The sequence below is a fragment of the Homo sapiens genome, chromosome 4, assembly GCF_000001405.40.
Source record: "Homo sapiens chromosome 4, GRCh38.p14 Primary Assembly".
Classification (NCBI taxonomy): domain Eukaryota; kingdom Metazoa; phylum Chordata; class Mammalia; order Primates; family Hominidae; genus Homo; species Homo sapiens.
Genome location: NC_000004.12, coordinates 65,484,759 through 65,511,307, shown reverse-complemented (window position 1 = coordinate 65,511,307; position 26,549 = coordinate 65,484,759). Strand labels below are relative to the sequence as shown.

The 26,549-nt window shown below is 33.8% G+C and overlaps 1 protein-coding gene across 13 annotated transcripts in view; it reads left to right on the top strand.

The window, feature by feature from the left end:
* Window positions 1–26,549, top strand: part of EPHA5 (EPH receptor A5) — a 350,923-nt gene that overhangs the window by 159,182 nt on the left and 165,192 nt on the right. For 6 of the 13 annotated variants that reach the window (NM_182472.5, NM_004439.8, NM_001281766.3 and 3 more), the window contains exons 4-5: window positions 15,765–15,920; window positions 20,596–20,931. The exons of 4 other annotated variants lie outside the window; for them this stretch is intronic. In NM_182472.5, the coding sequence (NP_872272.2) occupies window positions 15,765–15,920; window positions 20,596–20,931 (492 nt within the window). The remainder of the gene's footprint in view (window positions 1–15,764; window positions 15,921–20,595; window positions 20,932–26,549) is intronic. 3 more of the 13 variants (NM_001437319.1, XM_017007878.3, XM_011531735.4) reach the window with 1 other exon arrangement.

Sequence of the window (26,549 nt, the reverse complement as noted above, 5' to 3'; positions counted from 1 at the left end):
ACCTCTTATAAAGATAATTTTTTAAAGACATAACTTAGTTGATACCATACCAAACAGACACCCTACTTACCACATCTCCACCCTGTACTTTGTTGAGTAATGTAACATTAGTCAGCTTGGGTTGCCATAACCACAGGCTGGGTGGCTTAAGCAGCAGAAATTTATTTCTCACAGTTCTGAGTCTAGAAAGTCCAAGACCAAGGTGCCAGTCATTCATTTCTTGGTGTGGGCTCTCTTCCTGGCTTGCAGGCAGCTGCTTTCTCACTGTGTCCTCACCTGGCCATTCTTCAGTGATACAGGTGGAGAGACAGAGAGAGAGAGATTGATTGATTGATTGAGGGCTCATCCTCTTCTTATAAGGCACAAGAGCCCACTCTCATGACCTAATGTGATCATATTTACCTCCCTAAGGACCCATCTTCAAATGCCACCAAGTTGGGAGATACAGCTTTTTGGAATTACCTATACTTGAGCATCATATACAAGTCTAGCATGTTTGTGGACTATGTCAGGCACATGCCAGTGCCTCAACAGTTATTTTCAGTTCTACAGTGATTGTGAGATATCAATTTTGGATTGAAGTGGACAGACACCAAGGCAGCTAAAACTCAATGACCATTGCCAAATCAATCATAGTAACCATCCTAATGTTTTAAAACGGCTATTGAGTGCTTAGTTTCTGCTGCCAGCAGTTATACTCACACACATACACATTCTGATTAAAACCTTTCAGAAATTCCACAAAAGAGGTGCTATTTTATGATAAGGAAATGTCAAGGGTCATATAGAAACAGTGTAAACTTATTAACACTGAATTCAAGTCTATGTGACCTCAAAGTTCACAACCAAAAGAGAAGATACTGTGTGATTACATGGACTGGAAGAGCTAGGAACAGGCATATGGAGAATATAGTAATTAAGAAAAACTAGTAAATTAAAGTCTTGCTAACAGAAGTATGTATCCACCGAGCGTAGTGGCTCATGCCTGTAATCCCAGCACTTTGGGAGGCCGAGGTGGGCTGATCACCTGAGGTTGGGAGTTCGAGACCAGCCTGACCAAAATGAAGAAACCCTGTCTCTACTAAAAAAAAAAAAAAAACACAAAATTAGCCAGACGTAGTGGCATATGCCTGTAATACCAGCTACTCGGGAGGCTGAGGCAGGAGAATCACTTGAACTCGGGAGGCAGAGGTTGCAGTGGGGGGAGATCTCGCCATTGCACTCCAACCTGGGCAACAAGAGTGAAACTCCATCTCGAAAAAAAAAAAAAAAAAAAGAAGTATGTATCATCTGAAATTGCATAGAATAGACTTGAAATGTCGTCCACAATGGTTAGAACATTTGTAAGAAGGCTTAGCTGTGTTACCAGATCCACCTGTCCTGAACTCTCAGATTTTTCACTTAGTGCTTTTAAGAATTTAGGCATATTGTCTAGCATTGTACTTATAAAATCGAAATTTACTATTCACTTCATCTGATGATTATGCTAATGAAATGATCTGATTATGCTAATGAAATGATCTGAATCAGTGTAGAATTTTACTCACTGAATGACCCTAGTGAACATGCTGAATAAATGTTAGTTTGCTTTATTAATGTGGCTACTGGTATTACTGCTTTGTCATAGGGTCGCAAAAGTGTGAATGTTCTGATAAATAGTGGCAGATTAGTAATCATAAAATAACAATGGAAAAGGAATATGCTTTACAATATAGTCTAATATGGGTTAAGATATAACCGTAAAGTTTAAGTTCTCATCTTACAAAATCAGGACACTGTTTTCTAACCATCCCTATAATCAGTCTTTTAGAGTTATTGTTTTCCTGGCTTCCTTTTTCTTCCCTCTCTGGCTTCTGCAAAAAAGCCAAGACCCATTCGGGTTTTGAAATTGATATCCCCAGATAGCTAGGACACAAATATAGACTCTGGGAGGGATTGAATATTTCTGTAGTAATAATTGTATCAAACAGGTCGAACAGTTAACTAAATGTAGATAAATAATATATAATACTATGAAATATATTTGAGAGTTTACCTGGTTGAAACTTTTAGAAATAAGATATGTTGTTAAAGGACAGTCTTTGCCAAGTTATTTTGAGCGTGAATTTTCTATTCTGTAAGTAAAGAAGTATGTCTCTAAATGTTGACACCTGAAATTGTTTAATTTAAGACCCAGTAGGACACTTGCACACTGAAAATTAATGGCAAATCAATGACTGCTTTTACCAAATGAACTTCATTAGCCAGTTGGTTTTGCTAATTTAAAGATTTTCAATTCAAAAGAGGAATATTTTATAGATTTGCACTGAACATTTGCAAAATGGCTTGATTCATTTTAATTCTCAGCATACAGTTTGAAGAAAAGTAGTTTAAAGCAACTGTATGCCCAATGCGTTCTCTATATTTCCTGTACTATATTTATATTCATAGATACAGATATGCTACTCCAAGAAGACTTTCTCACAATCAGGGATAGTTTTTTTTAACACTTCTTTTTGTTTTTAAGTCAAATTACAGTGTGAAAACCTTTATCTATATCTAGCTATCTATGCTTTTAAAAAAAACTGCATTGTCAATGTTTTGATTAAATTATACACAACCTGGGCAATGATTATCTAACTTAACTGGGGAATAAGTTTCTTTTTGTTGTAATTGTTGCTTGATTTTAAAGGAAAGAATGTAATCGTGAATGCTTTTTATACTACATGTAATGGTTTTATTCTTTATTCCAAAATAGCACATAGTTAATTGTACTTTTTTATTTTATGAAAGGGAATATAATTTGTCAGATACATAGGATTTTCTTCTGAGTTAATGAACTATGATACAATGCCCAATAGTACAAGGAGAGATATTCATGACTGAAAACATTACTTCTATCTTAGCAATCAAGGCCAAGACCTTGCATATCCTTTTATAACAATGTGTTGGTTGCTTTTGTCCCTAAATGGAAGTTTTATTGCGTTAACCACAACATACTCACTCAATGATTCATAGCTGGACTTATTTTATGACCGTATAGACATGAATTAATCAAAGCAGATCTCACTACTTGAGTCTAAAATAATGTATACTTCAAATCAAATACACAGGCCATTAAGCTTTTCTTTCAATTACAGAATAAATCATCCAGCTTATATTTAAACTGTGCACCCTACCTATCAAGGCAATAAACATTCATGTTAACACAAATATTGCTCACAAAAGCCCATGTACTAAGGAAAAACTAAAAGCTGAAATAAGGTTATTTCATGAGTATTTAGTTCATATTTTTCATCATATTTATATGAAACAAAGTAAAAGAGCCTAAGGGTCATGATATTGAATCAACTTGTACACAAAAATTATGCTTGCCTATATTGAGAAAAAACTATGAGTGGGGAATTTGGGTATCTATTAATTTAGAGAAAATAATATATGTTGTATTATCATAAGCAAATACTAATATTTTTGTCATGGTTTCAAGTGAGATACCATTCATCCACAGATTTCTCTTTTTAAAAACATTCCCGATTGTATATCTATAAAACCCCATCATCTCAGCCAAAATCTCCTTAAGCTGATAAGCAACTTCAGCAGTCTCAGGATACAAAATCAATGTGCATAAATCACAAGCATTCTTATACACGAATAACAGACAAATAGGGAGGAAAATCATGAGTGAACTCCCATTCACAATTGCTTCAAGGATAATAAAATACCTAGGAATCCAACTTACAAGGGATGTGAAGGACCTCTTCAAGGAGAACTACAAACCACTGCTCAATGAAATAAAAGAGGTTACAAACAAATGGAAGAACATTCCATGCTCATGGGTAGGAAGCATCAATATCGTGAAAATGGCCATACTGCCCAAGGTAATTTATAGATTCAATGCCATCCCCATTAAGCTACCAATGGCTTTCTTCACAGAATTGGAAAAAACTACTTTAAAGTTCATATGGAACCAAAAAAGAGCCTGCATTGCCAAGACAATCCTAAGCCAAAAGAACAAAGCTGGAGGCATCACACTACCTGACTTCAAACTATACTACAAGGCTACAGTAACCAAAACAGCATGGTACTGGTACCAAAACAGAGATATAGACCAATGGAACAGAACAGAGCCCTCAGAAATAATGCCACATATCTACAACTATCTGACCTTTGACAAACCTGACAAAACCAAGCAATGGGGAAAGGATTCCCTATTTAATAAATGGTGCTGGGAAAACTGACTAGCCATATGCAGAAAGCTGAAACTGGATCCCTTCCTTACACCTTATAAAAAAATTAATTCAAGATGGATTAAAGACTTAAATGTTAGACCTAAAACCATAGAAACCCTAGAAGAAAACCTAGGCAATACCGTTCAGGACATAGGCATGGGCAAGGACTTCATGTCTAAAACACCAAACACCAAAAGCAATGGCAACAAAAGCCAAAATTGACAAATGGGATCTAATTAAACTAAAGAGCTTCTGCACAGCAGACAGAGTGAACAGGCAACCTACAGAATGGGAGAAAATTTTTGCATCTACTCATCTGACAAAGGGCTAATATCCAGAATCGACAATGAACTCAAACAAATTTACAAGAAAAAAACAAACAACTCCATCAACAAGCGGGCGAAGGATATGAACAGACACTTCTCAAAAGAAGACATTTATGCAGCCAAAAGAAGACATTTATGCAGCCAAAAGACACATGACAAAATGCTTATCATCACTGGCCATCAGAGAAATGCAAATCAAAACCACAATGAGATACCATCTCACATCAGTTAGAATGGCGATCATTAAAAAGTCAGGAAACAACAGGTGCTGGAGAGGATGCGGAGAAATAGGAACACTTTTACACTGTTGGTGGGACTGTAAACTGCTTCAACCATTGTGGAAGACAGTGTGGCGATTCCTCAGGGATCTAGAACTAGAAATACCATTTGACCCAGCCATCCCATTACTGGGTATATACCCAAAGGATTATAAATCATTCTGCAATAAAGACACATGCACACGTATGTTTATTGTGGCACTATTCACAACAGCAAAGACTGGGAACCAACCCAAATGTCCAACAATGATAGACTGGATTAAGAAAATGTGGCACATATACACCATGGAATACTATGCAGCCATAAAAAAGGATGAGTTCATGTCCTTTGTAGGGAATGGATGAAGCTGGAAACCATCATTCTCAGCAAACTATTGCAAGGACAAAAGACCAAGCACCACATGTTCTCACTCATAGGTGGGAATTGTACAATGACAACACATGGACACAGGAAGGGGAGCATCACACACTGGGGCCTGTTATGGGGTGGGCAGAGCAGGGAGGGATAGCATTCGGAGATATACCTAATGTTAAATGACGAGTCAATGGGTGTAGCACACCAACATGGCACATGTATACATATGTAACAAACCTGCACGTTGTGCACATGTACCCTAAAACTTAAAGTAGAATAAAAGAAAATAAATAAATAAAAGGAAAAGTTCACAAAAAAATTCCCTTGGTTAAATCACTCTCAAAAACATAGTTTTCTGGCTTTTCCCTAAACTTAAAAAATAATTACAAATGCTAGTTTTGCTTGAGAAGATGGAAAAGAGGTATAAATTCGGGCTTGCCAATTAACCCATGAAAATATGTTGAAAAATTTGCAAGGCACGGAGCTAAATTTAGGTGCTCTAAAAACTTAACGTGAGAGTGCATTTTCTCAATATTTTGTGAAGAAACCATCCCTTGACATTTTTGGCTTTATGCTTTCTCTAATTGAAGGCATGGTAAAATAAGGTGCTAGAAGCTTTATCACTTAAAATTTAAAAGTCATTTAATTTAATTTAATTCAATTTTCTGCTTTTCTAAAGTACAAATTCACAAGAAACTGGATTTATTAAACTCATTTGACAGTGGATGCTTCTTGTTTTTATGAAGAATTTAAGTTGTTAAATCTGTTCAAAAGTGCCATTTGTTCATAAGACCAAAATGACACAATAAAACAAGCATTAATAGTATGTTTGTGTCAAGATGAACTCTCATTCAGATAGATATCTTTTTTCTATGAAGTAGAAGAAATAAAAGTTTAAGAGTAGAGAAGGCATAATGCTTAATTCAAACGTAGCTTATTCTAACTTTTCCTAGTCTTTTAGTGTGTTCTTTCCAAGTCTGTTCATTTTGACAGCAGAAATACTTCTTTCCAATTCTCAAATCTTTATCTAATTAAAATTTGTGATGAAGTGGGAAATATGTAACCAAATACTTAAAATGTTTTGCACATAGACAAGCTTACATTTTTATATATACCCTTATACACACTATTATTGAAGTACTCTTATTTCTTAACTAATTCACATTTATTTGTTTGGGATAGAAGAACTGCTTAGCATCTTAAGTAAAATAAAAACGTAAATTTATCTAAAAGAACTTAGTGCTATAGAGGAATCAATGATCAAGGGGAAATCAACTCTGCTTTGAAAGATACCTGAATTATATTATTTATGATAAGTATTTATATTATACAAATTGTTCCTAGAAACCTTTGAAGAATGGCTGAAATCATGTGGCTTTTATTTCAGTGGAGGTTCAATTAGATAAACAAAAAGTAATATTGTGATTTACGATAGTCTGCAGTCAAAAAGCCATGTGTCAGTTCATTCTAGGCCAAAATGAGCTTCATGTTTAGCTACTATATGTCAAGCACATCCGCATTGTCGAGATGGAGACATACACCATCACATCACTACAGAATGTCTTTCCATAAATATTTTTCCATACCCTTGGCATTTAGACTTGTAAAACTGAAATTAGTTCAGCTTAACTATTTTATCTTAGGAGGCTACATTATTTGTCAGTGAATAGTTTAGAAATGTATAACAATCAAATCAATGTACTTCACTTGAGCATGACAAACTTTCTGTCCTAGATTATTTGGTGAATTTGTTCTATCTATATATATATATATATTTTTCAATATATTTTAAAATTTTCTAACTTTGCTGGTAATGGAGTATAGAAGTTGTTATTTTAAAAATAAAACAGGGAGTGACATCTGGTACATAATAAATTTTTACCAAATTTAAAAGTATTTTGCCATTTTTGGAATACTAAATGAGGTAATAATCTCTTTCTCTGAATTATGGGAAGGAAATTAGTATTATAATTAATCATTGATACTATGTGATAAAACACTTCTATAAAATATATAGATGTAACAATATAAAAATGTGAAATTGATAATCCTAATCAATTTCTAATACTTTACACAGCTTTATTTTATTTATGATTTTATTTATATGTACACACACTACCATTTATATTACATATATACACATTACAACATATACATATACCTGTTACTGATGGTCCACAATTTGGTTAAATATATGTGTGTGTGTGTGTGTGTGTGTGTGTGTGTGTGTGTATCACACACATGAATGCTATTAAAATTGTCTTGAATGACTTTTTAAAAATGTGTATGTTAATATTAAACACCATTAAGCAATTAGTGTGTTTCTAAATATGTGACGGGTAATGTATAAGTGATTGCCACACAACTAAGTTATTTAATGACACAATGGTAAGAAAAATGTCTTAATTATATTTGTATATTCCATGTTCAGTACAGTTCATGGCAGGAAATTCTGATTTATTACATATTGTAGATGAATGAATATGTAACCAAATTTATTTTATGTTTCATTTATAAATATTATATTATCTTTGAATTTCTGCCAATATTTGGTGAGCATAAATTAAAAATACATTGTATTGAGAGATTTAATGATTTTTCAATAGTATTCCTGTCCTTTTCTTATGTAATATTCTAATGTTACAATTAGCCTTATTGTTTTCAATCATTTAAACTTACATTCTAGTTAGCCAGTTAACCCTAGATTCTCAAGTAGGACCTATTTCCTGTTTCTGTTTGATATTATTCAAGAGACGTTGCCAAATTTTAGAGCTCGTAGTTTAAATTTATTTTAATTGTATCAATGTTTTAACCTAATAACAACTTTCATACTGAGAAGACATTTTTAAAAAATAATTTCAAATTGTCTCTTAGATTCAGGGGTTACATGTACAGGTTTGTTGGTACACGGATATATTACGTGATGGTGAGATTTGGGATACCATGATCCCATCACTCAGGTAGTGAACATAGTACCCAACAGTTAGCTTTTCATCCCTGACTCAACTTCCTTCCTCCTTCTTCCCTCTAGTAGTGCCTAGAGTCTATTGTTGCCATCTTTATGTTCATGGGTACACAAAGTTTAGCTCCCACTTATAAGTGAGAATATGTTGTATTTGGTTTTCTGTTCCTGCATCAGTTCACTTAGGATAATAGCTTCCAGTCACATCCATGTTGCTGCAAAGGACATGATTTTGTTCTTTTTTTATGGTTGTGTAGTATTCCATGCGGTACTTGTACCACATCTTCTTTATCCAGTCCACCATTGGTGGAAACCTAGGTTGATTCATGCCTTTGCTATTTAATACTACACCATTGATATTGATTAGTACTGCACTGATCATATGAACACATATATCTTTTTGTCAGAACAACTTATTTTCTTTTGGATATACCCAGTAATAGAATCACTGGGTTGAGTAATAGTTCTGTTTTCAGTTATTTGAGAAATCTCCAAACTGCTTTCCATAGTGATGAACTAATTACATTCCAACCAACAGTGTATAAGCATTTCCTTTTCTCCACAGCCTCACCATCATCTGTTGTTTTCTGACTTTTAAATAATGACCATAGTGACTATTGTGAGATGGTATCTCATTGTGGTTTTGATTTGCATCTCTCCGATTGGTGATGTAGAGCATTTTTTTCATGTTTGTTGACTGTATCTTTTCTTTTGAGAAGTGTTTGTTCATGTATTTTGCCTGCTTTTTAATGGGGCTATATATTTTTTTTTTGCTTGTTTAATTGTTTAAGTTCCTTAGGGAGTCTGGATATTAGATCTTTGTCAGATGCATAGTTTGCAATTTTTTTTCATTCTGCAGGTTGTCTGTTTACTTTGCTAATAGTTTTTCTTGCTGTGCAGAAGCTCTTTAGTTTACTTAGATCCCGCTTTTCATTTTTGTTTTTGTTACAATTGCTTGTAAAGACTTAGTCATACATTCTTTTTTTCAAAGTCAATGTCTAGAATGGTGTTTCCTAATGTTTTCTTCTAGGATTTTTATAGTTTGAGACATGAAATTTAAGTCTTTAGTTCATCTTGAATTAATTTTTGTACATAGTAAAATGTAGGGGTTTAGTTTCATTCTTCTGCATATAGCTAGCCAGCTATCCCAGCACCATTTATTGAATGGGAAGTTTTTCCCCTATTGCTTATTTTTGTTGGCTTTGTAAAAGATCAAAAGGTTGTAGGTGTGCAGTTTTATTCTGGATTCTCTATTATGTTCCATTCGTTTATGTGTCTGTTTTTCTACCAGTACCGTGCTATTTCACTTACTGGAACCTTATACTGTATTTTGAAGTTGGGTAATGTAATGCCACTCACTTTGTTCCTTTTGGCTTAAGATTACTTCAGCTATTTGGGCGCATTTTGTTTCCATATGAATTTTGGAAAAGTTTTTTCTGATTCTGTGAAAATGATATCAGTAGTTTAATAGAAATAGTATTGAATCTGTACATTGGTTTGCGTAGTATGGCATTTTAATGATGTTGATTCCTCTGATCCATAAGTATGGAATGTTTTTCCATTTGTTTGTGTCACCTACGATTTCTTTCAATAGTGTTTTGTAGTTATTCTTGTATATATCTTTCACCTCCTTGGTTCAATGTATTCCTAGGTATTTTATTCTTTTTGTGGCTATTGTGAATGGGGCATTCTCGATTTGGCTCTCAGCTTGAATGTTATGGATATATCGAAATGCTACTGATTTTTATACATTGATTTTGCATCCTGAAGGTTTACTGATGTCATTTATCAGATCCAGGAGACTTTTGGTGAAGTTTCTAGGGTTTTCTAAGTACATAATAACATTGTCAGTGAAGAGAAGTAGTTTGACTTCTTTTCCTATTTGGATGCCTTTTATTTGTTTCTCTTGCCTAATTGCTCTGGCTACACTTCCAATGTTTTAAATATGAAGATAAAATGCTGTTAATGTTAAATTTTGGTATAAGCAATAATATTTATACTATATAAAATATGACATGTTTTGAGTTTTAATTCCCTTATAGCATTTTGTTTTTCTTAGCAAACACATATTTTAAACCCACACTAAACTATCTTCTGAGTACCTTATTTTGAAAAATGTATTAAATAAATATAATTCACTTAGCTTAGCTTATATCCTCTGATAATTCACATATGATAGAGCTATGGGAATAAATCTTGTTCATAGTGATTTTCTTTCTCAATAAAACATACTTAGATAAGGCCAGCAATGCTTTTGAAAGTTAATTATATCTTGTACACTGCAAACAACGATAGTCTGTGCCTTTTTAACTCAATTTCCTTTATATGTATAGTATGCATATATATATATATATACGCACACATATATGGCTGTATATTTTAATTGTAATGGAAAGAAGTATAGTATTTTAAAGTATTAAAACAGTAATTATTATATATATTAATATTTTTAAAACATTTTCTTGGTGGGCCATATTTCTGGAGTATTGACTTTGAATTATGAAGTGAATATACTTAGTTATCCCAAGGTTAATAGCTCTTTAAGGGTAAAATATATTGGAGACATTAAAAGAAATTTAATTGAAAATATGGCGAAAAATCGATGCAATTTGTCAGTTTAATTTTTTTTTTTGGTAATTTTGAGAATCTTTAAACAATTTCTCATAAGATTATACAGCAAATTTCTAAATAGGTGCTAAATATATGGCTCAAAGGTTTAAAGGATAAGTGGGGAAACAACATGTATTCTTGCAGATTAGCATATATACTATGGAAATGGTTGCATTTAAAAAACGAGCCTTCAAGCATGGGTAGAAATAATTCTTAAACATAATTTTCTTTCCCCCAGGAGTTTGTCACAATAGTCTCATGAAACATGTCAATATGGGTGCATTTTTTGTCTTCTACTCTTTGCTCAACTTAAATGACTGGCATAATGTTTTCTAAATGATATTTAGGTAATGTACAGACATCATATGAAACAAGTTTGCTCCAGAAGCTTCGTTTATTTTTAATAAACCATTTTGGATTGGTATTTAAATAAATTGTACTACTTATCTAGATAATTATTTCTTAAATATTATCATGATTAAAATGTAAAATATCAATTTTGCCTCTATCATTGTTTGTTCATTATTATTATTTATTATTCCACCCATGAAATACACTTGTATCTTCATGGGTGTGAAGAACATTTTTTTCCTCACACAACTCAAACATGTTTTGTCACAGTTCTTGACAGAAAGTGTGGACTCAAAAAACGAATTATATCTTCAGTGTCTTCCAAATTGTTTCAGATTAAATTCAAATCTCTTATCGTGGACTACAAGCTTTTTCAAAAAAAAAAAAAGATTATACATTTATTTATTTACATGTCTTGTCTTTTGGCCCAGAATGCTTTTCCTACAGTGTTCAGAGGCAGAAGAAAAGTTTCTCAAATACAGGAAATAAGTAGATGGATGGAGACAATGAGTATGGTAGGAGACTGCCTTTAAAGAGTTTTTAAATATTACTTGGAAACTTGTAGGCTATGCTAGCATTTTGTAATGAAAATATCTGGAGTTTCCTAAAAGAGGGCATGTCAAATATTGCTGAGAAGTGAGTACGGCAAGAAAGTAACTGCAATCTCAACAAAAATAGTTTTCATTGAGAGGTATCAATGGAGTGGAGTGAGTCATCATGTGATTTAGAATGAGGAACTACAGATGTATATATGGAAAATAATTTAAGAAATCATATCCTGAAAGTGGAATAAAACTGGGAAAATTGGAATCATGTGAGATTGATAGTTTTGTTGTTTGTTTTGTTTTGCTTTGTTTTTGAGCATCTTAAAAGAATTGTAGCTACTTGGAAGCTTCACCTCAGAGAGCAGAGTGGGGGTTCCTAATTCAAATACAGATAATTTTATTTGATATGAAGAAGGATACATTTTATTCTATTTTGATAGAAATAAAGGTAGAGAAGATGGGTACCATGACATATAGGTTTGGAGATTTGATGGTAGGAAAATGAGAAAGTTTCCTTCTGACAACTTTTATTTTCTCAAGACAAATGACTGTATCAGCTGATAGTAACAGAAACAGAGCTCATAAGGAGCTTGAAGGAACAGGAGATGCTACAAGAAAATCCTGTTGATGTTGGAAATGAAGTTAACTAAGGGAATAATATGAGTTTGAATAAGAGGCGATGCTACAAGAAAATCCTGTTGATGTTGGAAATGAAGTTAACTAAGGGAATAATATAAGTTTGTCTAGCAGGGTACTATGACCCCTTGGAATTTAGGGTCATGATTTGAAGGTGATGAATAATTACAGTTTATGACATTTTTCTTGGATAATATTGAACCACACAGGTTTTTTTTCTCTCTAAACATCTATTTGCATTACTTCAACCACCTCAAATTAAATAATGCCTTACATATTACTCATTATCTTCTCCAACACATTTCATGTCCTGTTCTCTGAGAAAATGGCACCAGTATTTTCTGTAAAGTTTAAGCCAAATACCTTACAGTCACTCTTACGATTTTCCACTAAGTCATCTAACCCATTAAATACATCATGAAACCTAGTTGATTTTACCCCATTCTCATTTCTTGAATTCCCCTCGTTTTATTGATCACTACTGGAACCACTCTGGTTAAGTGACATTGTCTCTTTCTGGACCAATGCAATAGAAACAAAAGAGCTATTTGCCTCTGATCTTGCTTTTTTACCCAGGCTGCTGTGTAATGATCTCATAAACACTACTTTGATCTCATTATTCCTTGGCTTAATAACTTTGCAGTTACTGTGAAAATATACAATTTTCATTTGTCAGTTAAACCTTAATAAAGCTGGGGTGAGGGGAACTTTCCAATGACCTCCCTTTGCCTATAAAATAAAGTACCAAATATCTAATAAAATATGTAAGGTTTTTGTGGCCTGGTGCCCTCTGTCCTGTATAAACTTGACTCTTCCACTTTATTCTGACTATCTTCTTGATCAATTCTTTAGTATCTTCCATTTCGCTATTTGTTCTCCACCTCATGTGGTCCTTTGCAAGGATTTCTCCCTTTAAGGTACGGATACACTTTAACTCAAATTAAATCATTTTCATAATCTTTCAAATATAAGCAGAGACTCAGCTTCCTGAGGGAAATCTCCTTTAATAATCTAGATTAAATTGGGTATCTATGTTTACTGCTATAGCTCCTTTTTCTTTTCCTGGTGTAGTAATATTTATAATATTTATGGACTACCTTTAAGATTCATAAAGGCAAGGCTGTGTCTATCACATTTACCTCTGAAGCCAGTTCAAGTAGAGTTACTGGCCCACTATACCTGCTGAAAACATCTTATTGAACTGAACAGAAAGATACATTTATCTACTTTTTACTTCGATTTATATTATTTTATATTTCCAAAGCTCCCTTTGGGGTTTGAACAGCAGTGTTATATGTGATATAATATAAAGTGTTTAAGTTAAGAGGCATTCATTAAAAAGAAAAGAAATGACTTTTGTTTCATGAATGGTAAATGAATTCCAAATACTTAGAACATATGAATTGACACTTCATGTCTTTGAAAGCAAATAGTGTTTAAAGTGAGAATGGTTTTACTAAAAGGATAAAAGAAGAAAAATTGAATAACTTAGCTAAGTATGGCATAAGCTGCTATAGCAATCCTATTATAAGAAAAATAATATTTTAAATCTTCTCCTAATCATTTAACTACAAGAATGTCCCTAATACTATCAAAAAGCTCTTTTTATCTTTCAAATACCTTCACATTTTCTCAGAATTTATAAGAGCATTAAGGCTTTACTATCACTATAATTAGATCTACTGAAAAGAGTACCTTCTCAATTTTGCCAATTCCTGATTATTCATGGTGATGGCAGAGAGCCTTAGCATGGATTACTAAAACATGAAATCATTTATAGAATATGAAAGTTGGCCCCAGTTCATTTAGTCTATCAGAAATTTCTACTGAAATACAAGTTCACCTTTGAGCTTCAGCAAATATGCGTCATACTTCAGTATATGTAGTGAGCTTTGAAAATAGAAAAAAGTAGTTGATTAGCTTTATTTAAAGTAAGCTGTACAAAGCACTCAAACCATCAGTTTGGTAGTCTTCGACTGACCCATACTGAGCAATTAGCATATTAAAGTTTGGCTTTATTAGCCAGTGAGAAATAAGAATAATATGAACATGTAGAAAATCCACAGAATAAAAAGATTTACTTCATGCGCATTTACCTGATGATAAGCTTAGAAATGCTCATAGAAATATCAGAAAACACTTTCTTTATGTGATTCTAAATAGTTGTTATAATATTCATGCCAATCCATTCATTCATTCACACATTTCATAGAACTCTTTGAACGCCTTTTGTGGTCAAACACTGGAAAAAGTAAGTGCAAAACTGAGTAAGACATAAGCCATCCCATTACTGGGTATGTACCCAAAGGACTGTAAATCATGCTTCTCTAAAGACACATGCACACGTATGTTTATTGCGGCATTATTCACAATAGCAAAGACTTGGAACCAACCCAAATGTCCAACAATGATAGACTGGATTAAGAAAATGTGGCACATATACACCATGGAATACTATGCAGCCATAAAAAATGATGAGTTCATGTCCTTTGTAGGGACATGGATGAAATTGGAAATCATCATTCTCAGTAAACTATCGCAAGAACAAAAAACCAAACACCACATGTTCTCACTCATAAGTGGGAATTGAACAATGAGATCACATGGACACAGGAAGGGGAATATCACACTCTGGGGCCTGTGGTGGGGTGGGGGGAGGGGGGAGGGATAGCATTGGGAGATATACCTAATGCTAGATGACGAGTTAGTGGGTGCAGCGCACCAGCATGGCACATGTATACATATGTAACTAACCTGCACATTGTGCACATGTACCCTAAAACTTAAAGTATAATAAAAAAAAAGACATAATGTTTGAACTTAAGAAATCATTATAATTTGTATAGTAAATAAGCCTTACTGATATTAGAATAGATAAATGTTGAATCAGTAGGTGTCTCAAAGAAAAGTTCTAAAATGAAGTAAATGTAAAACAAATGTCAAAAATGTGACTCCCTTAAAATAAAAATAATACAGTTGATATATCAGGTCATCTATGCATTCTCCCCAATCTAACAGAATTCATGAGGCATTTAGCACATACTAATTAATTAATTTATTATTCAATAACACAATTTTGAGTGCCTACTTTGTATCATACCATTTTAGCAGTACATGGAATAATATTTATTTCTTCAACATAGTTGTAGTAATGATAGAGTAAGTGAAAACTATACACAAAGCACTGCTTCAGTTTTAAATACATAAAAATATTTGCCTTTTATCAATATAATTCCTTATAAGCTCCTGTAGCATAAAAATCATTACAAGTATGTACATTCCATAAATGTTTAAGTACTTTAAATAAATATTTGATTATTTGAATGAATAGCCTGGTATTTATGATCCAGAAGCTTATGAAAACTTCTTGAAATTGATGCAAAGATTGTGTTATCTGTAATCTGCATATACAAGTCAAAATAATGACATTATTCACAAAACAAACACTGCATCTGTTCCAGGGAAAAGCTTAGTCTCTTATTTCTTTTGACAGTGTGCAGACCTGGGTTCTTCAAAGCCTCACCTCACATCCAGAGCTGCGGCAAATGTCCACCTCACAGTTATACCCATGAGGAAGCTTCAACCTCTTGTGTCTGTGAAAAGGATTATTTCAGGAGAGAGTCTGATCCACCCACAATGGCATGCACAAGTAAGGAAACCCACGGATATTTGGTGGTGCTAACTTTAACCAGTTTTGAGGAAACAGCATGATGGAGCCTGTTATAGTCTAGTAACATTTCCCCCTAAAACAGACATAATGTTTAATCATCTCTATACAGTTTTCACCAATTTTCAATCTCCTTGAATAAGCACTGAAAAATTTGAGTCTCTTTTTATCACTCATTGTTAGAAGTATCCATTTTCCCTAACTTCAAATTCAACAGCTGAGACACAGATATAGAATATTTTCTTTTATTTTGTGGCTTATTTCAGTGTTCATGCTAGCTAAACATGACTTTGATAATCTACTTCCCAGTTTACATTAAAACCTCTTCTTCCTTCCTCCTCTTCCTCTTCTTCTTTCTTCTTTCTTCTTCCTTCCTCTTCTTCCTCTTCCTCCTCCTCCTCTTCTTCTTCTTCCTCTTTCTCTGCCAGTTTTCCCATCACATAATTATGTAGCTGATGGAGCCTTCACCATCTTGTTCTAAACTGCCCCAATAAAGCCACTAAGAAGTCATTTATAAAAGAACACAGGAAATATTTCAGGAACATAGAGAACTGGGAGTGGCAAACAAGATTTAAATCAGATCAGAGTCATACATACACCAATTTTTTTGCTAGGGTTCTCAAGCAGCTGTCATGTTTCTTGTTAGTGAGTGTCCTTAACTATTATTTAATATATTTGCTGATCATAAGTAGAGTAGATGAATAGTAAACATTTAATTCTGACATTTGCAGTAGATATAGCCACATCTTTCAACATTTTTAGTTTTCCGTATATTTGGTTTTCCATATATTTCTGAGAATGTAACACATTTGTGCATTTGTTTGCTTGATGACAATACTTTCAGAGTTTTTCCATAAGAAAGTCTCTGTAGCAAATCAAGCAAAAACAGAAAATTAAAGAGAAGGGAAGTGAATCCCTCTCTCCTCATATTGTTTAATTTCCATGAACTGCCTGGATTTACTATTTTAGGTCCCAGAAAGTTGTAGCTGCTTTCAAAGTTGTTCACAAAAATTTGAAATATTAGTATCCGTCTCTAAATTTAAAGAAGCAGTGAAGATTTTTTGTTATCAAATAATCACAAATTGAAATTTTATCTGAATTTCATAGTGTCTAAATTTCATAGTGTCAGTGAAACATGTTTTCAGATTTCCTTAAATCATTGCTATTAATTAGCTTTACATTCTGAAGACCATTCTTTTATCCCAAAGCTGATGATTTCATGGGTTAGATGATTACTAGTGAAAAATAATTTCCTCTTCAAATGAATAAATGCAATTTTTATATGCTCTTTTGTAAGGATACATATCAATGGAGAAGATATAAACTATGATTGGATGTGATGAATTTTGGTTCCAGTGGAGATTTCAATAATTATTTTGCTTATGAGAGCAAATGAATGCCCAAATAGGGAAAATGTTGGCTAGACAACAGAGTGGTAAATTAAAGAGAAAACCATGTTTTAAATTATCTTTCAAATTTTATTAATTTTCTAATTGTTATTTTCTTTAAGTGGTCTACCCATTATCTTTCTTTTTTTTTCAGCATAAATGTGAGCCTCCCTTTCTGCAAATTTGTTAGGATTGGAAATGGGGGTGGGGCGTGAGGGGGGAAGCTGTACTTTGGTGGCAAGGACTGCTTAGCACTTTTTTAGGACCAAAGCCCACAGTCAGGCTTCACATTTCTCAGTTTCCAGGTGTGTGAATTTCTAATACTGTGTTGTCAAATGAGCACTAATTTGTATGCATTTCTAAAAGTAAAATAAAATTAAATTTAAAAAATTAGGACTTATGTATAAGATCTTTCTAATACATAATCTATGAGTGTGTGTGTATGTTTTTAGTTGCATTCATAATACCACAAATACTGCATATGATTTCCTTATCGCCTGATAGATGTTCAGATGAAGATCTTGAGCTTCACTTTGCCTTTGGCTCTTTGGAATTGAATTTATAGCTCCAACTTCAAATTTTTTTTCTAGAATATACAAAGTTTTTAAATCTATATAACAACATTTTATAAGCCTACAGGAAAAAATCAAACAAAAATAAAACCTAAAATCCTGATGAATCTGCTTAAATTAAAGGTTAGTCTCACAGTTCTACTTTGGTTGACGCATCATATCTATGATTGGGGCAGAGGAATTTTATTATATGTTTTTTGTAGGTGCGTGTTAGTTCGAGCTTCCACTTTTTACCTCTATTTTAGGGTTTCACTTGAGTTTGAGTTTCCTTTTGACTTTAAAGCTGCTTGTGCCCCCATCCTAGCTGTTAGTAGAAGAGTCAGAAGAAAAGGAGGATTCAGCTGCTGATGCATTCTTATAGATTTAGAGGAAATGTGTTAAATGCAAGGATTTTTCAGTTGGCAGAAATTAAAAAACAAAACAAAACAAAACAGAAGTTTGACATTGTTCTAACTTAGAGATATTTCTCAGAGGTTAATCCTGTAATTTTTTATCTTAAATTTCATTTTGTCTATAACTTTGTACTATTAAATAAGCTAAAGTTTATAGTAAACAAGAACACGTGTATTTCCAGAAATACCATTTAACCCAGCAATCCCATTACTGGGTATATACCCAAAGGATTATAAATCATTCTACTATAAAGACACATGCACAAGTATGTTTATTGCAGCACTGTTTACGATAGTAAAGCAAAGCAAATACAATCCAAATGCCCATCATTGATAGACTGGATATTTCCATTTTAAGACATTATTTCAACTTAAAGGGGACTGTTTTATATTGAAGTATGTGAGATGGCCGGTATGACAAAATTCATAGGATTCAAACATGGTCAAGGTGGGGATTTTTTTTTTTTTTTTTTTTTTTTGCAAAGATGTCAAGTTTTTTAGTTAAGGGGTTCTTTTGGCTTGGCGCGGTGGCTCACGTCTGTAATCTCAGCACTGTGGGAGGCCCAGGCGGGTGGATCACTTGAGGCCAGGAGTTAGAGACCAGCCTGGCCAACATGGTGAAATCTTATCTCTACTAAAAATACAAAAATTAGCCAGGTGTGGTGGTGGGCCCCTGTAATTCCAGCTACTCGGGAGGCTGAGGCAGGAGAGTCATTTGAACCTGGGAGGCGGAGGTGGCAATGAGCCAAAATCACTCCAGTGCATTTCAGCCCGGGCGACAGAGAGAGACTCTGTCCCTAAATAAATAGATAAATGACATTCTATCCAGCTAAATCTTAAATGCCAATTAGCTTTCTTACCACTTTTAAAACAATCCCTCAAAAGTCATGACTTAATAAATGTTAGTTAAAAATTGTCAATTTTGATATTTAGAACAGACAATGCATATTAGGATAACAGATCATCCTAAGTAGCTTAATTATGCTTATGAACCATTCAACTACCACCATACTCCATTTTATTCTCTGTAAGGAGAGATGTCCAAATTGTCTCTGGAACAAATATAAATGTGTTTTTTCTTTGAGATTATCCAATAATATAACATTAACAGCTGACTGAAGTTTTAACTAAATATCTAAACATTGACTCTAGTGTTAGAAATTACCTAATTAATTTTTGTTCTCTCTATTATTCTAATCAAGTTCAGGAATAATTAAAATAATATACAAATAAGATATGGTTACCCTTAATATATGAAATTCATAAAGCAATTCTGATCATGGATTTCATTACTCATATTTTAGTGGAAATATTCCATCTTATTGAAATAAGATGATTCTGAATATAAAATATATTTTAAAAGCTACACCCAGTTTCCATTAAGGTATATACAAAAAATAAAGTGTACAAGAAATACTTCATGAAGTTAGGAAGTTTCACTCCTGAAAGCTATTCGTAGTTAATATGTTATGATTCTATGAAAATATTTGTGTTAAATCTATTTCTTTTCTTATTTTGGTAGGTTATTAGAGGTTGAAATTTATTCTATTGATCCTTCAAAATCTGAACGCTTTTATTCATCCTATTGTAGTCCTTTTCAGGGTTATTTTTAAAATAAATTTTAGATTTTCAATTAAATAAAATTCACAACTTGCAGAACTGTAATATAAAAACAATATCAAAGTAAAATATGTTTTACTGCAAATTGTAATTTTGACCATTTACTTAAATTCTAATGCTTTTTTGATATACAGTAGGGGGTTTCAAATTCTGTTGGTGATTTAGCAACTAGATATGCAATCTATTTTGAAGCATGCTAAGGTTTTTTTTTTTTTTACTTACAACATTTGTAGTCAGGAGCTACGCTGAAAATTCTGTATTTTCCTATGCTTGTTTCTTAGTAGGTACTTTGTGTTTACTTTGTAGGTTGCAGGGATTAGCACCAATGAGGAAACATTCAGTTCAATCCCCAAGGAAACTCACCAGTTTATAAATATATAATTTTAATTTTATCTTATAATATTTGTGCATACATAGTTTTACTCCATAATTGTTTACATATACATGAAGCAAAACGTTCTGCTTTTACTGAACTAGTGTTATAACAATGCCAAGATAAGTCATTTCCATAGGGAATAAACCCCACTATTGTCCCTACAAAATTATGAAAACAAAACTACAAATTATGACTTAAAGGACTTATTGCAAATCTATTTTTTCCTTCAGACCAGGAATTGGTGTGATAAATAATGCCTAATTAATACCATCTTAAAATATGTTTTTCTTACTTTACTTTGTAAACCAGGACCCCCCTCTGCTCCTCGGAATGCCATCTCAAATGTTAATGAAACTAGTGTCTTTCTGGAATGGATTCCGCCTGCTGACACTGGTGGAAGGAAAGACGTGTCATATTATATTGCATGCAAGAAGTGCAACTCCCATGCAGGTGTGTGTGAGGAGTGTGGCGGTCATGTCAGGTACCTTCCCCGGCAAAGCGGCCTGAAAAACACCTCTGTCATGATGGTGGATCTACTCGCTCACACAAACTATACCTTTGAGATTGAGGCAGTGAATGGAGTGTCCGACTTGAGCCCAGGAGCCCGGCAGTATGTGTCTGTAAATGTAACCACAAATCAAGCAGGTAAGTGCCATGCCCAACCCAATTGTGTATGTGAGGCCTAGTTCTGTCAATTATTTCCATAGCTGACGGCCAAGTTGACTGAAATCTGTGTGAGAATTTTCCCTCAACCGGAAGGTCAGGACTTAAAGTATAACACATCAAAAACGCTTTTGCAGTTTTAAATAAATAATAGTTAAAGCTTTGTTAGCAATCCCATTTACAGGAAAACAAAACAAAACAAAACATTTTTTAATTGAATTTTTTCATTAGAAATACATTTCTGGATCAAATCCATTTGAAGCAAAATTTATCTCATATAATTTCATAGCATTCATTTTTACAACTCAAATCTATTTTTTGTTTCCTTTAATTTTTAAAAACTCATTAATTTAGCATGTGATTAGGCAGGTTTTATTTGCTTGTTTATTTGCTTGCTTGGCAACACAGATGAATTTTCCTTGCAGATCATAAATCTTTTCATATTTTTTCAACTATTGTAGCAAAAATGCATGCAATGAAATTTTCTTTGCTAAGTTTATTTATCAAAATTAGAGTAACTATGAACTATTATACAACCACCTGAAAACACTTCTAGATTCCATATGGAAATTTTGGAATTAATAAGTAATTATTAGGGAGTAGGGAATACAGTCGTGTCTGAGCTACTGATTTGTCTATATTTTCCCCTCAAATGTTCACTTTTAAGCAAATTAACATGGAAGACTTCTTTCCTGGTAAGATAAAAACCGAATATAAACTACAGCTAATTTAATAATTCAACCCACTATGTGGCATTCTAAACCTAAGAGTAATTTCTAGCATGTTTTGTCCACCAACAGGTATCTGGGAGGGGAAGAAAAAGGCATTAAAGCCAAAAAGTTGTAACTTTCCTCTATCAACTGACTACAACTCTCAGTCCAAAGTGTAGTAACCTTGTCATCACCTTAGTACTTCAGGTGGGCTTTGGTCACTGAGCACATCCTTGCCACCAGTACTCACAAAGAAATAGGACATGTTTGACTGAATGAAATCAGGCTTAGTTTATACAATATTAGTGTAAGTTTGTAGGTTGCGGGATGCTAGCCTTGATGTGGGAATGCTGTTGGTTACAAAGTCTCAGCAAAAATAATTAATTTGAATTGTTGGATACCTCAGGTAAATCAAGTGGTTATATTCTAAGAATAAGAAAAAGCATGCAGCTGGCTGGGCGCGGTGGCTCACGCCCGTAATCCCAGCACTTTGGGAGGCCGAGATGGGTGGATCACGAGGTCAGGAGATCGAGACCATCCTGGCTAACACAGTGAAACCCCGTCTCTACTAAAAATAAAAATAATAATAAAAAAAATTAGCCGGGCATGGTGGTGGGTGCCTGTAGTCCCAGCTACTCGGGAGGCTGAGGCAGGAGAATGGTGTGAACCCAGGAGGAGGAGCTTGCAGTGAGCCGAGATCGCGCCACTGAGCTCCAGCCTGGGCAACAGAGCGAGACTCCGTCTCAAAAAAAAAAAAAAAAAATGCATGCAGCTGAGTTCAGAGTTGATAGTTGCTACTGATTGATAAAGCTGACGGAAACATTCAAAATTAGCCCAGATTGTGTGAAGCATGTGATTAATGCAATAGGAATTATTCTATACTCTTCATGTTCTTAGCCACATTGAATATTTGTCTATGGCATTTTTTTTCCTATTAGAAAATATAATGCACACATATAAGCCACTTTCCCCAGTGAATCGTTTATATTTTTTACCATTTACTACCTAACCTAAGGTGAAACTAATAGAAGTGCTAAAGAGCTGGACAGGAATAGCGAAAATCAATTTTTCCCTCAGCATAGACTCAGCTGTAGGCAATGCTAGCATGTGTTGACTTTTTGTCACTGTATCTAGACATCAGGAGTGTTCGGTAAATGTGAACTCTCTTCCCATGTTAGAAAAATATTGGCTTGAAACCTTTGGCTTCAGCCTTCTTACGAAACATCTTTCAACTTTACTTGATTCTACGTATGAATCTTCTACCAACATATTGTAAGCATATCGAACAATCACCGAGTTGTGTTCCTTTAGAAGTACATTTTCCAGCTTGCATAACCTTAACTTCTTTGAAAGGTATTCCTTTGATAAACTAGGTAGAGAAAATAACTGTTTATTTTTTAATGATGTATTCAACAAATATTTGCTATAGTTGTCTTTAACTTTCTGGCCCCTTCAGCCTCCCAAGTATATTATTTGAAACTTGAATACCTTAAATACCAAAAAAAGATCAATTTTCATCCAGGTGGTCAAGACATAGGTGTCTTGTAAAACAAATTTTTATATTCACAGCAGACAATTTTGTTGACTTTTGGTTGCTATTGGTTAGACTTCTCACTGTATACACTGTAACATTTTGCAAACCTACCCAAAACATCAAAATAAGATTCTTCTCAGTATCAGCATTCCAGAATCACTAAGTCTTATTTTACACAAAAATTATGGAAACTTCTAATTGTAACCACCCAATGGTTTCTTCTTGCCCCCTCCCCAGAGAGAGTCAATTGATCAAGACAGGGAAATTGCAACAGAAAAAGAGTTTAATACACATAGAGCCAGCTAAGCAGGAGACCAGAGTTTTATTATTACTCAAATCAGCTCTGTCAAAAGTCAGAGGCTAGAGTTTTTTAAAGATAGTTTGGTGGGCAGGAGTCTAGGGAATGGGGAGTGCTGATTGGTTGGGTCAGGGATGAAATCATAAGAAGCTGAATCTGTCCTCCTGCAGAGTCAGTTCCGGGTGAGGGCTACAAGACCAAATGAGCCAGTTTAAGTGTTCTGTATGATGCCAGCTGATCCATCAGAATGCTGCAGTGTCTGAAAAATATCTTGAACACCAATCAAAGGTCTTAAAATAATAATGTTAGCCATGGGAGCCATTGGGGAGGTTAGGAATCCTGTGGATTCTGGCTGCATGACCCCTGAGCCATAATTTTTAATCTTATGGCTAATTTGTTAGTTTTACAAATGTTGTCTGGTCCCTAAGCAAGGAGGGGATTTGTTTCAGATAGGAGTTAGTATCATTTTTGTTGGAAAGCTAAACCATAAACTAAATTCCCCCCAAAGTTAGTTCAGTCTATCCCGAGGAATGAACAAGGGCAGCTTGGAGGTTAAAGGAAAGATGGAGTCAATTAAGTAAGATCTCTTTAACTGTCATAATTTTCTCACTGTTTGTATTAGTCTTTTTCCACTGCTATAAATACCTGAGACTGGGTAATTTATAAAGAAAAGAGGTTTAATTGGCTCATGGTTCTGCAGGCAGTACAAGAAGCATAGCAGCTTCTGCTTCTTGTGAGGCCCCAGGAGGCTTCCAATTATGGCAGAAGGCAAAGAAGGAGTGAGGCATCTCACATGGCGAGAGCAGGAATACAAGAGACAGGGAAGGTGCTGCACACTTTAAACAACCAGACCTCTTCAGAACTTGCTCTCTATCATGAGAGCACCAAGGATATGCTGTTCTCAAGAAACTGCCCCCATGATCCAGTCACCTCCCAGGAGGCCCCACTTCCAACATTGGGAATTACAATTAAACATGAGATTTGGGAAGGGACACAGGCCCAAGCCATATCACTGTTATAATCTCTGCAAAGGTGGTTTCAGAATAATTCCTAAAATGTCTTAAGTTTAATGCCACCATGGCAAAACACTTTTTAAGTACCCAAATTGCAGAAAGTGTTTTGTAGTAGTTTTTAATGCCTAAATATCTTTTAAGAATTAAATTGAAGAAAGTTATCTTCACCATATGTGGTTGTTATATAAAACTTTTTTCAGCAGATTTTAAATTTAGTTTTGAGATCCTCCAAAGATTGTTTTCAGGAAATATGTTTCTTTTTTAAATAATTGATTTCAAATTTATAATTAGCCTCAACAGTTGTGTTGATATTTTCTGATTGATTTTGTAGGGGTACAGGAAATGCATCCCTTTGGCCCTCTCTGTAAGTTTGCTGTGGTGACTGAAAATAGACAGCTTAATAGGGAAAAACATCCATAATAAATTCAGTAACACGCACTTGGATGTGGTATCCCACATATATAAGACTCAAAGAAGGGCCAGATGGTTGAGGCTTAAATACCCTCTTCATATAGAGAGGGAAATGGGGGTGGGGGGGTGTAAATGGGGAAATGAATGATCTCAAAGAACAATGACCTGGTATAAATTTTCTCTGACCTCTGGGGGAACCAGTAATGAGAAGATGAGGGGAGGAACTTCGAACTTCACTGTGAACAAAGGTTTTCTTATTATAAAAATAAAGTCTCCCAGGTAATCTCTGGGAGGTGTCCTTAGAATAATAAACAAAAAGTCTGTCTGGACATGGTGATGACTTTTAGTCTCTTCTCTTTTCTTTTCTGGTGGTTAATGTTTCCTGATTATTTGTGAGATTTTCAGGAAGGATGCTTTAAGACAATCACATTTCTTTTGAAAAGGAGTTTCCCTTAGTAAAATAAGGAAATTTCAGTGAGAGTCCCTCCCTGCAATTGTGAGATGTAGGGGACAGGGAAGAAACAAGGGAAGGTTAGAAAGTTTGTGGTTCTGAGGGAACATCTAAGGTCTTCTGATTTCTTTTAATTCAAAGTGCTCATCATGCCAAAGCACCATTCTTTGTGGTATTTCTCTCTGCATTCCAACAATGTATTTCTGTGCGTGTGACAACAATGAATGTCCAGATTCAAAATTGGATTCAAAAAGTGTAAGAAGGAAAAATAGGTGTGTTCAAGTTGAAAATTTTGCATTAGGCTGATAGTCTATAGAAGCGATTAAATGATTTATAAATGTATACATAGTATTTAGACATTTTCCAAAACATTATATCATTATGGAGCCTAGGAACTTGCTTTTAGGGGAAGCTATCTGGACTAAAACAATACTTTTTTGCATGTAATAATCAAGCTACAAAATTTTAAGGAAAAGTCAAATACTAGAATTGGTTCAAATTTATAGTTCTTGTAAAACATGGTTATAATAATGTTACTGACCAGAAAGAATTATAAAATTGTGAGACTTTTCTTGGTCAAGAAAAATAAGCAAATGTAAAAGGGGAGAAAAGCAAGAAAAAAGTAGATGTTACATAATGTAAAGAAATAGTGGCTATGATGAAGGGAAAAATGATAAGAAAATAAAATGTCAATATGTTAGTTATATAAAGAATTCTTTGGCCAATTACAAAGGGAATAAAATATAAATAGTGGATAAAAATTAGAGGATATAATAGTAGATATGCAAATAGTGGATATACAAATTAGAGGATAAAATAGTGGATATGTTCATTATTAAGCTATTAATCTTATAAAATGAATAAAATTATTTAGCTCTTCAAGTTTTCTAATGAGTATTTCATATATAATACATTCTTACACAAAATTGATTTACACATGATAATCTTTCTTTGCCAAATAATATTTAGATTTATTTACATGACAACACTTCTGTTGTTCTGTTCTATTCTTTTAGGACTTATGAAATGTATCTATCTATACAGATAGAGACATAGCAACTCATAGTGTAAAATTTTGAAATTCTGTTAAAAACAGTTACTCTGAAATTTCTTTATCTTTTTACAAAATAGTGTGTATTTATGTTTTTCTATAAATATATACTTTGTTTCTATTTTGAAATAA